Raw genomic sequence first — 13,642 nt, forward strand, 5'->3', positions numbered from 1 at the left:
TTTTCTCTTTTGATTGTAGTCAACTGTTGCATAATTTTTTTTTTTTTAGGCAGAGTCTTGTTCTGTCGTCCCAGCTGGAGTGCAGTTCACTGCAACCTTCGCCTCCTGGGTTCAAGTGATTCTCCTGCCTCAGCCTCCCCAGTAGCTGGGACTACAGGAGTATGCCACCAGGCCCAGCTAATTTTTTTTTTTTTTGTATTTTTAGTAGAGACAGGGTTTCTCCATGTTGGCTAGGCTGGTCTCGAACTCATGAACTTGGATCATCCACCTGCCTTGGCCTCCCAAAGTGCTGTGATTACAGGCGTGAGCCACCGCGCCTGGCCTGTTGCAGAATGTTGCTGGGTATATTATATTATACTATGTGAATTAAGAATTCTCTATTAAACAGTTTTAAGTTGTAAGAAAGCCACCCTAAGTTTAAAACTTTCAGTCTTTTAAAACTGATGCATTAAAGAACTACTCCAAATAAGAGAAACAACACTGAGGTGTGATTCATTTGAACTTGAGTCCCGGTTCCTTAACCCAATGCCTGGATGCTAGAGATGTTCAATAAAGACTTAATGACTGCATAACCAACTTATTAGCTGTAGAATAGTTATAATAATTAACTTCCTTGAGCCTTTGTTTTCTCTTCTGTGATCAGGGAAGAAACCTCTTCTGTCTACCTCAGAGAATTTTTGTAAGGATCAAATAAAATAATGTGTGTTTAAGTTTTGATTTCTTTCTTTTTTCTTTTTTTTTGAGATGGAGTTTTGCTCTTGTAATCCAGGCTGGAGTGCAGTGTGGTATGATCTCTGCTCACTGCAACCTCTGCCTCTGGGGTTCAAGCGATTCTCCTGCCTCAGTCTCCCGAGTAGCTGGGGTTACAAGTGTCCACTAACACGCCCGGCTAATTTTTGTATTTTTAGTAGAGATAGGGTTTCACCATATTGGCCATGCTGGTCTTGAACTCCTGACCTCAGGTGATACGCCTGCCTCGGCCTCCCAAAGTGCTGGGATTACATATACAACCTTTTTTTAAAAAAAAATTATTTTTATTTTTATTTTTATTTTTTGAGACAGAGTCTCGCTATGTCACCCAGGCTGGAGTACAGTGGGGCAGTCTTGGCTCACTGCAACCTCCGCCTCCCTGGTTCAAGCGATTCTTGTGCCTCAGCCTCCCAAGTAGCTGGGATTACAGATGTGAACCACCACACCAACTAATTTTTGTCTTTTTAGTAGAGACGGGGTTTTGCTATGTTGGCCAGGCTGGTCTTGAACTCCTGGCCTCATGTGATCCACCCGCCTCAGCCTCCCAAAGTGCTGGGATTACAGGTGTGAGCCACTGCATCTGGCCAATACAACCTCTTTTTTGATTAGAGCTTTGAAATTGGGGTAGGTTTACTGAAAATAGAACTGTACCAGAGAATTGCATCTGAAATATGCAAAGCTCACCTGGATATCTCAATAGCATGGCAATAACCACCCTATAACCTTTTTAAAAATAAATCTCAGTGGAAGTGATGCTGAAATCTCTCCTTAAGGTCCTCTTTCTCAATCAACTATAATTCAGCAAACATTAAACTTCAGTTACCCGGAAAAAGATTAGGTAATAAATGTGTTAATCATAGACTGGATCATAATCAGCACCGTCACCTAAAGAATACTCACCCCTTAAGTAATCCAAAAGAAAACTAAGAAGCAAAAATCCAGGGTTTGTTTCTCTATAACCAAAATAGAAGAATGTCCATAGTCATTACTGAGCATTAACCATTTGAAGATCTCCTTCCTTTTAACCTCAAGACATTATAATATCTCTTCCTTACTGTCAGGAGACCTAGAGTCCTGTCCTGGCTCTGTGCCTATAGTCATAAGTTGATCTTATCCTTAAAAACGTAAAAATCTTTGTCTTTATTTTGGCCGAGCATGGTGATATATGACTGTAATCCCAGCACTTTGGGAGACTAAGGCAGGTGGATCATTTGAGGCCAGGAGTTGAGGACAGATCGCTTGAGACCAACCTGGCCAATGTGGTGAAACCCTGTATCTACTAAAAATATAAATATTAGCCAAGTGTGGTGGCACACACCTGTAATCCCAGCTACTTGGGAGGCTGAGGCACAAGAATCGCTTGAACCCAGAAGTCAGAAGTTGCAATGAGCCCAGATTGCACCACTGCACTCTAGCCTGGGTGACAAGGAGTGAGACTCTGTCTCAAAAATAAAATAAATAAATAAATAAAATCCCTGTCTTTATTTTGAAACCAGAACAAAGGACACAGTGTGATCTTTGCAAAATCACAGAATCTTGAGCTGAAAGAAGCTTAAAGTTTATCTTGCTAAGTAGTTACTTTTTTAAGCACAATTTTTATTTTTATTTTTATTTTTTTTCAGAGATGGGGCTCAAGCTGGTCTCAAACTCCTGGCCTCAAATGATCCTCCCACTGTGGCCTCCCAAAAGGCTGCGATTACAGGCATGAGCCACTATGCCCAGCTCAGAACTATTTTATTCAAACAAAAAAAAATTTTTTTTTTTTTTGAGACGGTGTCTCGCTCTGTCACCCAGGCTGGAGTGCAGTGGCGCAATCTCGGCTCACTGCAAGCTCCGCCTCCCGGGTTCACGCCATTCTCCTGCCTCAGCCTCCCGAGTAGCTGGAACTACAGGCGCCCGCCACTACGCCCGGCTAATTTTTTTTTTTTTTTTTTTTTTTTGTATTTTTAGTAGAGACGGGGTTTCACCGTGGTCTCGATCTCCTGACCTCGTGATCCGCCCGCCTCGGCCTCCCAAAGTGCTGGGATTACAGGCGTGAGCCACCGCGCCTGGCCTCAAACAAAAATTTAAGAAGAGGAAAGCTAAACAGCTTTGGTTGAAGAAAGGTAGGTTATTCTGTGGCTGTCTGCTGGCCTCCCAGCCCCTCTCTGCTGTCCTTCAGGGAAGCCCTAGGACTCCACAGCACAACTTGAACCACTGACTTAGTCTAACCTTCTCATTCATTTCATGGATTGTTAAAACTGAGATCCAGAGATATTTAGGGACTTTCCGAACTAATGTAAATAGCAAATTCAGGACTGTTTAGTTGTATCCATGGTCATAACGAACATTTATTGAATGATTTACTGCTGTGTTTCACTTGCATCATGTCATTCATACTTTTTCTTTTTTTTTTTTGACACAGGTTCTTGTTCTGCGGCCCAGTCTGAAGTGCAGAGGTGCGATTGTGGCTCCTGCAATCTCTGCCTCCCAGGCTCAAGCGATCCTCCCACCTCGGCCTCCCAAGTACCTGGGACTACAGGCATACGCTGTCACAGCTACTTTTTGTATTTTTTTGCAGAGACGGGGTTTCGCCATATTGCCCAGGCTGGTCTCAAACTCCTAGGCTCAAGCAATCCTCCCGCCTTGGCCTCCCAAAGTGTTAGGATTACACGCGTGAGCCACTGTACAGGGCTTTTTTCTTTTTCTTTTTAGAGACAGGGTCTCACTCTGTTACCAGGCTAGAATGCATTGGTTTGTTTGTCACTGATTTGTCACTGATTTGTTTGTTTCTGAGATGGAGTCTCACTCTGTCAGCCAGGCTGGAGTGCAGTGGCATAATCTCAGCTAACTGCAACCTCTGCCTCCTGGGTTCAAGCGATTCTCCTGCCTCAGTCTCCCGAATAGCTGGATTTACAAGCATGAGCCACCATGCCTGGCTAATTTTTGTATTTTTAGTAGAGACAGGGGTTTCACCATGTTGGCCAGGCTGGTCTTGAATTGCTGATCTCAAGTGATCTGCCCACCTCAGCCTCCCAAAATGCTAGGATTACAGGCATGAGCCACCACACCTGGCCCACAGCTCACTGTTGATACTGGAACTAGAAAGAAATTATTTAGGCCGATACTGAGGGTTCTTACCAAGTAGCTCCTAAATCATTTCTTTTCTAACAAAGAGCAGCCTGAAAAATTGAGCTGCAGACATAAATAAGCAAGCTGGAAGCTTGCATAGGTAAATGCCAACAGCTGTGCCAATAGGAAAAGGCTAACTGGGGGTGGGGCATGTTCAACATGGAGGCTCCATTTTCCCTTTTCTTTGTCAACCATGTGTACAGTAAAGAAACAGGCAACATGGCTCCGGCCAGATAGAGGACCATCTGCATAATAAAAGATTCGGGTGGGGTAGCCAGCTTCTTTGCGTGCTATGTAAATGGCACACCTGGTCCATCCAATCTCTCGGGCACTATGTAACTCAGACACTGCCTCCACAAGCTTGTCTACAAAACCCTTTGCGTTTCACCATGAGACCAAAAGTCCCACTCAGGAGCCCCTCTCTCTGTAAGAGAGAGAGGTATTCCCTTTTCTCTTCCTTTTGCCTATTAAACCAATGCTCTTAAATTAACTTCTTATGTGTCTGCGTTCTTGATTCCCTTGGCATGAGACAAGAAACCTCTGATATTTATCCCAGACGGCAACAGCGCTTCTCTGTGACTTCAAACTCCTGGGCTCAAATGATCCACCCGCCTCAGCCTCCTGAGTACCTAGGACTTCATGCACCACCATGCCCTGCTAATTTTTAACCTTTTTTTTTTTTAGAGACTGGGTCTTGGTATGTTGCCTAGGCTAGTCTCAAACACCTGGGCTCAATTGTTTCTCCTGCCTTGGCCTCCCAAAATGCTGGAATTACAAATGTGAACCACTGTGCCCAGCCTTTTATTATCCATTCCTTAAAATAACCCTTAAACGTATAGGAACTGCTGAGATCAATTTGATAAGAAAAGTGAGAAGATAGGTGAATTGCCCAAGGTCACCCAGTCACCGTGTTGTCTTCAGTTGCTTTATCTATAAGAAGGATCTGGACTAGATAATTTCTGAAGTGCGTGCTAGTGTGCACCGCTAAAATTCTATGGCCATAATTGCAAGTTGTGAGACTGGTTCTTACAACTAAAAGTAATTGTTACCTTTAGAATCAATTATGCATTTCTGAGGCGCTTAACTATTTGAGGCTTACAGAGGGACATTTCAAGATGTTTCGTTGGAAATTTGAAAAATGAGTACCAAAATCTAAAAAAAGAAAAAAGAGAGTGAAGATGCAATCATTTCAATTAACCAGTCAGGGGAGTCTAATAACCTCTACCTGTGAGCAAGTAATACCACGAATCCATTGTTGGTTGATGCAATAAATGGTATTGCAGGGGATTAGAACATCCTACCCCACCCCAAATATGTCACTTTCAAATAAGATTATTTTGAGCTGAAGACAACTGAGAAATAGCTGATGCAGAAGAAGCTCCTGGGGCTCACACCTGTAATCCCAGCACTTTGGGAGGCTGAGGTGGGAGGATTGCTTGAGTCCAGGAGTTTGAGACCAGCCTGGGCATCACAGTGAGACTCTGTCTCTACAAAAAATAGTAAAAATTAGCCTGGCGTGGTGGTACATGCCTATAGTCCCAGCTACTGAGGAGGCTGAGGTGGGAGGATTGCTTGAGCCCAGAAGGTTGAGAGTGCAGTGAGCCGTGATTGTGCCCATGCACTCCAGCCTGGGCAACAGAGCAAGACCCTGTCTCCAATTAAAAAAAAAAAAAACCTCTTGGGCTTCTTTCCTCTGTCTGGCTAAGAACAGGATATAAATTGTAAGGGTGTCTCCCTTCCCCTCCATGAAAAGGAGAACAACTCAATCATTCCTGACTCTTAGTCCAGACTAAGAGGACAGGAATCAGACATAGCACTGAAAGAGGAATCCACATAAAAAACTTTACTAAGATAACCTTTGGCTGGGTACTGTGGCTCAGGCCTGTAATCCCAGCACTTTGGGAGGCCAAGGTGGGTGGATCACTTGAGGGTAGGAGTTCAAGACCAACCTGGCCAACATGGTGAAATCCCATCTCTCTTTTTTTTTTTTTTTTTGAGATAAGGTCTCACTCTGTCACCCAGGCTGGAGTGCAGTGACATGATCTCAACTCACTGCAAACTCTGCCTCCCAGGCTCAAGCAATACTCCCGCCTCAGCCTCTCTGAGTAGCTGGGACTACAGGAATGCGTCACCATGCCCAGCTAATTGTTTTGTATTTTTGGTAGAGATGGGGTTTCTCCATGTTGCTCAGGTCGGTCTCGAACTTCTGAGCTCAAGGGATCTGCTCACCTCTGCCTCCCAAAGTGCTAGGATTACAGGCATGAGCCATTGTGCCTAGCCTGAAACCCCATCTCTACTAAAAATAAAATAAAATAAAAATACCTGGGTATGGTGGCAGGTGTCTATAATCCCAGCTATTCGGGAGGCCGAGGCAAGAGAATCACTTGAACCTGGGAGGTGGAGGTTGCAGTGGGCCGAGATGGAGCCACTGCACTCCAACCTGGGCGATGGAGCAAGACCCTGCCTCAAAAGAAATAAAATAACCTTTATCTTCCAGTGGTTTCTCCCCCACATATTTACCTCCCCACAGTTTGCTGCCCCTAAAAGCTGTAACCCCTTTCTCTTGTCACTTCTCTACAGATATATTGTTCCATGTTAAGATGCTATATAAGCCCTGGATTTTAACCACCCCTTTGAGTTACTCATTACTGAGTTTCTCTTGTGTGTATGTGTGCTGTACATGTTAAAAAACTCTGTTTTTCTCTTTTTATCAGAAAACAGAAAACTGTTTTCTCTTTTATCAGTTTGATTCCCAGGACTCCAGCTGGAGAACCTAGGAGGGTAGAAGAAAAAGGTTCGTGTGTGTTTTTCCATCCCCTACAGTGATGGTGGTACATTATTTTGGTTTTGATCTCTGTGGTCAGGGAACAATTAAGTAAGTGATGACAAGAGGTAGGGAAAAAAAACTTCCTTTGCAAAGATTATTTAGCAGTAGAAGTAACAAAAAGATGAGTTGCAAAAAGTAAGTGGAGTTTAAGAACAGGCAAGTGGTAACAACAGCAGGTAATGACTGAGACAACGTGATAATGATAAATTTAGAGAAATGTCTTATTATGTAAATAGATCCATTAGCAATAAGCAAAATTTTACTTTTTGATCAACTTGACTGAAAAGATAACTTTTGGCCCAGGCGCCATGGCTCACACCTGTAATCCCAGCACTTTGTGAGGCCAAGGTGGGCAGATCACCTGAGATCAGGAGTTTGAGACCAGCCTGGCCAACATAGTGAAACCCTGTCTCTACTAAAAATACAAAATTAGCTGGGCGTGGTGGCACATGCCTGTAGTCCCAGCTACTCGGGAGGCTGAGGCAGGAGAATTGCTTGAACCCGGGAGGCGGAGGTTGCAGTGAGCCGAGATTGTGCCACTGCACTCCAGCCTGTGCGTCAGAGAAGACTCCGTCTCAAAATAAATAAAAAGATAACTTTTTACATGAAAAACAAAATGTATTACCCCAATAATTCTGGAGCCATTGCGATGATCTTGCAAAGAAGAGAGTAGTGTTTTTATTAAGATAACCAGTTCTTGAACTTTGACCAGTGTATTATACATAGACAAGACTTCATCTGACATCAAAGTAGTAGGACTCTTTAATCACCCTATTTTATTATTTCAAATAACATTTAAACTCAAGGATAATTCACTACTTCCCTTGGTTTGAATTTTCTGCATACAGAGTTAGATTTCTTATCTCTCTGTGTATACATGCCAACCTAAAGAATGTGGATTTTTTTCACTCAAAGAGGAAAATGACTATGATTTTAAAAATTGGCATTATAATTCTGTTCTGCCTCAGAGTTCTTCCTCCCAGCCTTGTCCCTTCCCCCATTCACAGTGTATCCTTTGCTCCAGTAATATCCAATTTCCTATTGTTCCCCAATACATTCTGTCCTATCTCTGTAACTTGGCACATGCTGTTCCCTCTAACTTCCCTTCTTACTCTTCCCTACCCTACATACCTGGCTAACTCCTATTTACCCTTCAAAGTTCAGCTCAATTAAGTATCACTTTCTCTTTGAGATCTTTACTACTATAAAACTGTAATCAATATTTTTTCTTCTTTGTACATATATTTGCATACATTCCTGATTGTGCCCTTAGTGGAAATGATTAGAAGTGGACTTCCTGTGACGGAAATTCTCTTAAAATAGTCATGAGTGATAAAATGTTTGTAAAGTCAAGCAGTTCCTGACTTGCAAATGACAGCACAAACAAGCAGCCCCTTGTGCTTCACTATTCTTGCTCCTGGGCCCTTCTGCTGCTGCTACCTGCTTCCCTTTCATAAATGCCCCAGCTATTATTTCTGGAGGAGCTTTTAAAGGTCTGGCCCAGCTCCTCTTCTTGTGCAAGAAGTCTCCTCTGTCTCTGTTGCCCTGGAGCTGTCCACCTGCCTTACCCACATCCTACCTCTCACAGCAGACAGGGGCTCCAGGCTATGGAATGTAAGATGAAAAGGAGAGAAGTTATCATTTGAGCCCGGGAGGCGGAGGTTGCAGTGAGCCAAGATAGCGCCATTGCACTCCAGCCTGGGCGACAGATGAGACTCCATTTCAAAAATAAATAAATAAATAAATAAAAAGGAGACGAGTGGTCAGATTTCAGGGACTAAACAAACATACTTTCAAGGCTTAGAAAAAGTTTTTACATGACTTATGAATTTGCTAAGTATTGGTAGGGCAGCCTAGGAACTGCAATCTCAACTCACCATTACATTTCAACTTCCTTCAGTCTCTTTGGGAAAAGGTATTTATTCATGTATTCCTAAAAGTGACCAATATGTCTTGTTTGGGACTTTTCTGGTTTTAGCATAGAAAGCACTGAGCTGATATCGCACCACTGCACTCCAGCCTGGGTGACATAGCAAGACTCTATCTCAAAAGAACAAAACAAAACAAAAATTCCAATTTCAAATCATCTCTTTGTGACCGTATGTGACTGTATGCTTTCAGAAAAATCCAGATCACCTCTTGAATGTTTTGCTGCTTAGAAATTTCTCCTGCCAGATGCCCTAAATCATCTCTCTCAAGTTCAAAGTTCCACAGATTTCTAGGGCAGGGGCAAAATGCCACCAGTCTCTTTGCTAAAGCATAGCAAAGTGACTTTTGCTCCAGTTCCCAAAAAGTTCCTCATCTCCACCTGAGACCACCTCAGCCTGGACTTTATTGTCCATATCACTATCAGCATGTTGGTCAAAACCATTCAACAAGTTTCTAGTAAGCTCCAAACTTTCCCACATCTTCCTGTCTTCTTCTGAGCCCTCCAAGCTGTTCCAACCTCTGCTCATTACCGAGTTCCAAAGTCACTTCCACATTTTCAGGTTATCTTTATAGCAGTACCTCACTCTGTTAGTACCAATTCTCTGTATTAGTCCATTCTCATATTGCTATAAAGAACTGCCTGAGACTGGGTAATTTATGAAGGAAAGAGGTTAAGTTGACTACAGTTATGCATGGCTGGGGAGGCCTTATGAAACTTACAATCATGGTGGAAAGAGAAGGTGAAGCAAGCACCTTCCTCACAAGACGGCAGGAGAGAGTGAGCGCAGGGAAAACTGCCACTTTTAAACCATCAGATCTCATGAGAACTCCTTCGCTATTATGAGAACAGCATAGGGGAAACCACCCCCATGATCCAATCACCTCCCACCAGGTCCCTCCCACAACACATGGGAATTACAGTTCAAAATGAGATATGGGTGGAGACACAAAACCAAACCGTATCAATCCCCAATCCTCTTCTCATCCTGTGTGATCTGCCCTGGACAATCTTACTAAGTTTCCATGACTTCAACTCTCATCTGAATACTGAAGATTCCCAAATGTAGCCCAGCTTTTTATTCTGACCTCTGTTCTCTATTTCCACCCTCAGCTGGAACATCTGTACTAGGATATGCATTGGTATTGTAGACATAGCTAAAACCCCATCACTAACATCATACTTAATGGTGAAAGATTGAATGCTTTTCCTCTAACATCAGAAATAAGACAAGCATGTCCACTTTGCCACTGCCATTCAACGGTGCACTGGAGGTTCCAGTGAGGGCTATTAGGCAAGAAAATAAATAAATACAAGGTCTCCAGATTGGAAAATAAGAAGTAACACAATCTCTACTTGCAGGTTGTATGATCTTGTATACAGAAAATTTTCAGGAGGCTGAGGCAGGACAATTGCTTGAACCCAGGAGGCAGAAGTTGCAGTGAGCCGAGATCACGCCACTGCACTCCAGCCTGGGCGACAGACGGAGACTCCATCTCAAGAAAAAAAAATTCTCTTTCATCAAAGGTGGTTTATAAATAACAGAGGAGATAAAGTCAGTCTTTCCAGCCGGGCACAGTAGCTCATGCCTGTAATCCCAGCACTTTGGGAGGCCGAGGCGGGCAGATCACGAGGTCAGGTGATCGAGAGAGAGATTGCAGGGAGCCAAAATCATACCATTGCACTCCAGCTTAGGCGACAGAGAGAGACTCCGTCTAAAAAAAAAAATTTGCTGGGTGAGGTCTGGCGCAGTGGTTCACACCTGTAATCCCAACAGTTTGGGAGGCTGAGGTGGGTGGATCACCTGAGGTCAGGAGTTCAAGACCAGCCTGGCCAACATGGTGAAAACCCATCTCTACTAAAAATACAAAAATTAGCCAGGCATGGTGGCGGGCCCCTGTAATCCCAGCTACTCAGGAGGCTGAGGCAGGAGAATCACCTGAACCCAGGAGGCGGAGGTGCGGTGAGCCAAAATTGAGCCACTGCACTCCAGCCTGGACAACAGAGCCAGATTCTGTCTCAAAAAAAAAAAAAAAAGTGCTGGGTGTCGTGGCATGCAGCTGTGTAGTTTAGCTACTCAGGAAGTTAAGGTGGGAAAAGGGCTTGAGTCCAGGAAGTTGAGGCTGCAGTGAGCTATGATTGCACCATTGAAGTCCAGCCTGGGTGACAGAGTGAGACCTTGTCTCAAAAAAATAAATTAAAAACAAAAATACAGCTGCCCGTGGTGGCTCATGCCTGTAATCCCAGCACTTTGGGAGGCTGAGGTAGGCAGATCACCTGAGGTCAGGAGTTTCAGACCAGTCTGGCCAACATGGTGAAACCTCTTCTCTACTAAAAATATAAAAATTAGCAGGGTGTGGTAGCATGCACCTGTAGTCTCAGCTACTTGGGAGACTGAGGAAGGAGAATCGCTTGAACCCTGGGAGGCGGAGGTTGCAGTGAGCCGAGATCACACCACTGCACTCTAGCCTGGGTGACAGAGCAAGACTCTGTCTCAAAATAAATAAATAAATAAAATACAAAGAAATACATTTAACAAAAGAATTGCATAATGGGTACTCTGAAAACTACAAACATTGCTGAAATAAATTTTAAAAGATCTAAATCAATGGAAAGACATCGTATGTTCATGGATTGGAAGACTTAATATTGTTAAGATGGCAGTACTCCCCAAACTGATCTACACATTTAACACCACTTCTCTCCAAATCCCAGCTGTCTTCTTTGCAGAAATCAACAAGCTGATTCTGAATAGTTTGGAAATGCAAAGGACTAAGAATCGCCCATACAATCAGGAAGAGGAAGAATAAAATTTGAGGACACATACATTCTGACTTCTTATTTATTTATGAGCCAGGGTCTCGCTCTGTCCCCCAGGCTGGAGCACAGTGGTGCAATCACAGTTTACTGCAGCCTCAAACTACTGGGCTCAAGTGATCCTCCCACCTCAGCCTCCTAAGTAGTTGGGACTACAGACTCTTACCACCATGACTGGCTTTTTTTTTTTTTTTTTTTTTTTTTTTTGAGACAGGGTCTTGTTCTGTCACCCAGACTAGAGTGCAGTGATGAGATCAGGGCTCACTGAAGCCTTGACCTTCAGGCTCAAGCCATCCTCCTACCTCAGCCTCCCAAGTAACTGGGACTACAGGTACATGCCACTATACCCAACTAATTTTTTGTTTGTTTGTTTGTTTGTTTGAGACAGTTTCACTCTTTGGCCCAGGCTGAAGTGAAGTAGTGTGATCTCAGCTCACTGCACCTCTGCTCCCTGGGTTCAAGCGATTCTCCTGCCTCACCCTCCTGAGTAGCTGGGATTATAGGTGCTCACCACCATGCCCAGCTAATTTTTGTATTTTTAGTAGAGACAGGGTTTTGCCATATTGGCCAGGCTGGTCTCGAACTCCTGACCTCAGGTGATCCACCTGCCTCGGCCTCCCAAAGTGCTAGGATTATAGGCGTGAATCACGGTACCAGGCTTCAACTAATTTTTTAAATTTTGTATATATTGGGTCTTGCTATGTGGCCAGGGCTGATCTCAAACTCCTGGGCTCAAGCTATCCTCTGACCTAGGCTTACCAAAGTGCTGGGATTACAGGGATGAGCCACCATGCCCAGCCTGCATTCTGATTTCTGAGTAAAGAAAAATAGCTCACAGCAGTCTGGGACATTGAGATGCAAAATTTATTGAGTCCAGAGAGACATGAGTATGTCAAGCTCCCCCACCCACCCAACATACACGTCCAGGGGGGCAACTGTTTAAAGGGATTTGGGGCCGGGCACGGTGGCTGACACCTGTAATCTCAACACTTTGGGAGGCAGAGGCAGGAGGACTGGTTAAGCCCAGGAGTTCCAGACCAGCCTAGGCAACATAGAGAGAACCCATCTCTACAAAAAATTAAAAAAACAATTAGCTAGGTGTGGTGGTACACACCCAGATACTTACAGGGCTGAGGTGAGAGGACTGCTTGAGCCTGGGAAGTGGAGGCTGCAGTGATCAGTGATTGCACCAGTACGGTCCACCTAAGCGAGAGTGAGACCCTATCTTAAACAAAACCAAAAGCAAAAACAAGCCAGGCATGGTAGCTCATGCCTGTAATCTCAGCACTTTGGGAGGCCAAGGCAGGTGGATCCCCTGAGTCCAGGAGTTCAAGACCAGCCTAGATACATGGCAAAACCCTGTCTCTATAAAATAAAATAAAATAGAATTTAATTAAATTAAAAAGAAAAGTCAACGCATAGCCAATTAATAGTTTATGTTATTTTATGGTAAATTCTTGGTAAACAACTTAGGAACTACCTCTTCTTTTTTTCTTTAAAAATTCACTTGTAGGCTGGGCATGGTGGCTCACACCTGTAATCCCAGCAGTTTGGGAGGCCGAGGCAGGCAGATCACGAGGTCAGGAGATCGAGACCATCCTGGCTAACACAGTGAAACCCTGTCTCTACTAAAAATACAAAAAAATTAGCCAGGCGTGGTGGCGGGTGCCTGTACTCCCAGCTACTCGGGAGGCTGAGGCAAGAGAATGGTGTGAACCCGGGATACGGAGCTTGCAGTGAGCCAAGATCGTGCCACTGGACTCCAGCCTGGGCAACAGAGCGAGACTCCTTCTCAAAAAAAAAAAAAAAAAAATTCACCTGTGACTGCTGCTGATCATGGCATATATTCAAGGCAACTTAATTAAAGGTCCCAGGTTGCAGTCCTCAAACTTGACCCATATAAACTATCTTTTCAACAAATAATGCTGAAACAAGTGGATGCCACATGAAAAAAAAAAAATGAAGTTGGAACCCTAGCTCACTTCACATACAAAAATTAACTCCAGGCTAGGCATAGTGGCTTTGTCCTGTAATCCTAGCCCTTTGGGAGGCTGAGGTGGGAAGATTGCTTGAGCCCAGGAGTTCAAGACCAGCCTGAACAATATAGTGAGACTTCGTCCGTACTAAAAATAAAAATATTACCTGGGCATGGTGGTGTGTGTCTGTAGTTCCAGCTACTCAGGAGCCTAAGATGGAAGGATCACTTGAGT

At 43.9% G+C, this 13,642-nt stretch overlaps 1 annotated feature.

Moving 5' to 3' along the window:
* Window positions 1,656-2,156: an enhancer, noted in NCBI's record as "H3K27ac hESC enhancer chr9:19186502-19187002 (GRCh37/hg19 assembly coordinates)". NCBI's record gives its function as "activates a minimal SCP1, AML or CMV promoter by ChIP-STARR-seq in naive H9 embryonic stem cells {active_cell/tissue: H9 hESC(naive)}" and the evidence as "EXISTENCE:reporter gene assay evidence [ECO:0000049][PMID:30033119]".

This window comes from Homo sapiens, chromosome 9 (genome assembly GCF_000001405.40).
Source record: "Homo sapiens chromosome 9, GRCh38.p14 Primary Assembly".
Taxonomy (NCBI): Eukaryota; Metazoa; Chordata; class Mammalia; order Primates; family Hominidae; genus Homo; species Homo sapiens.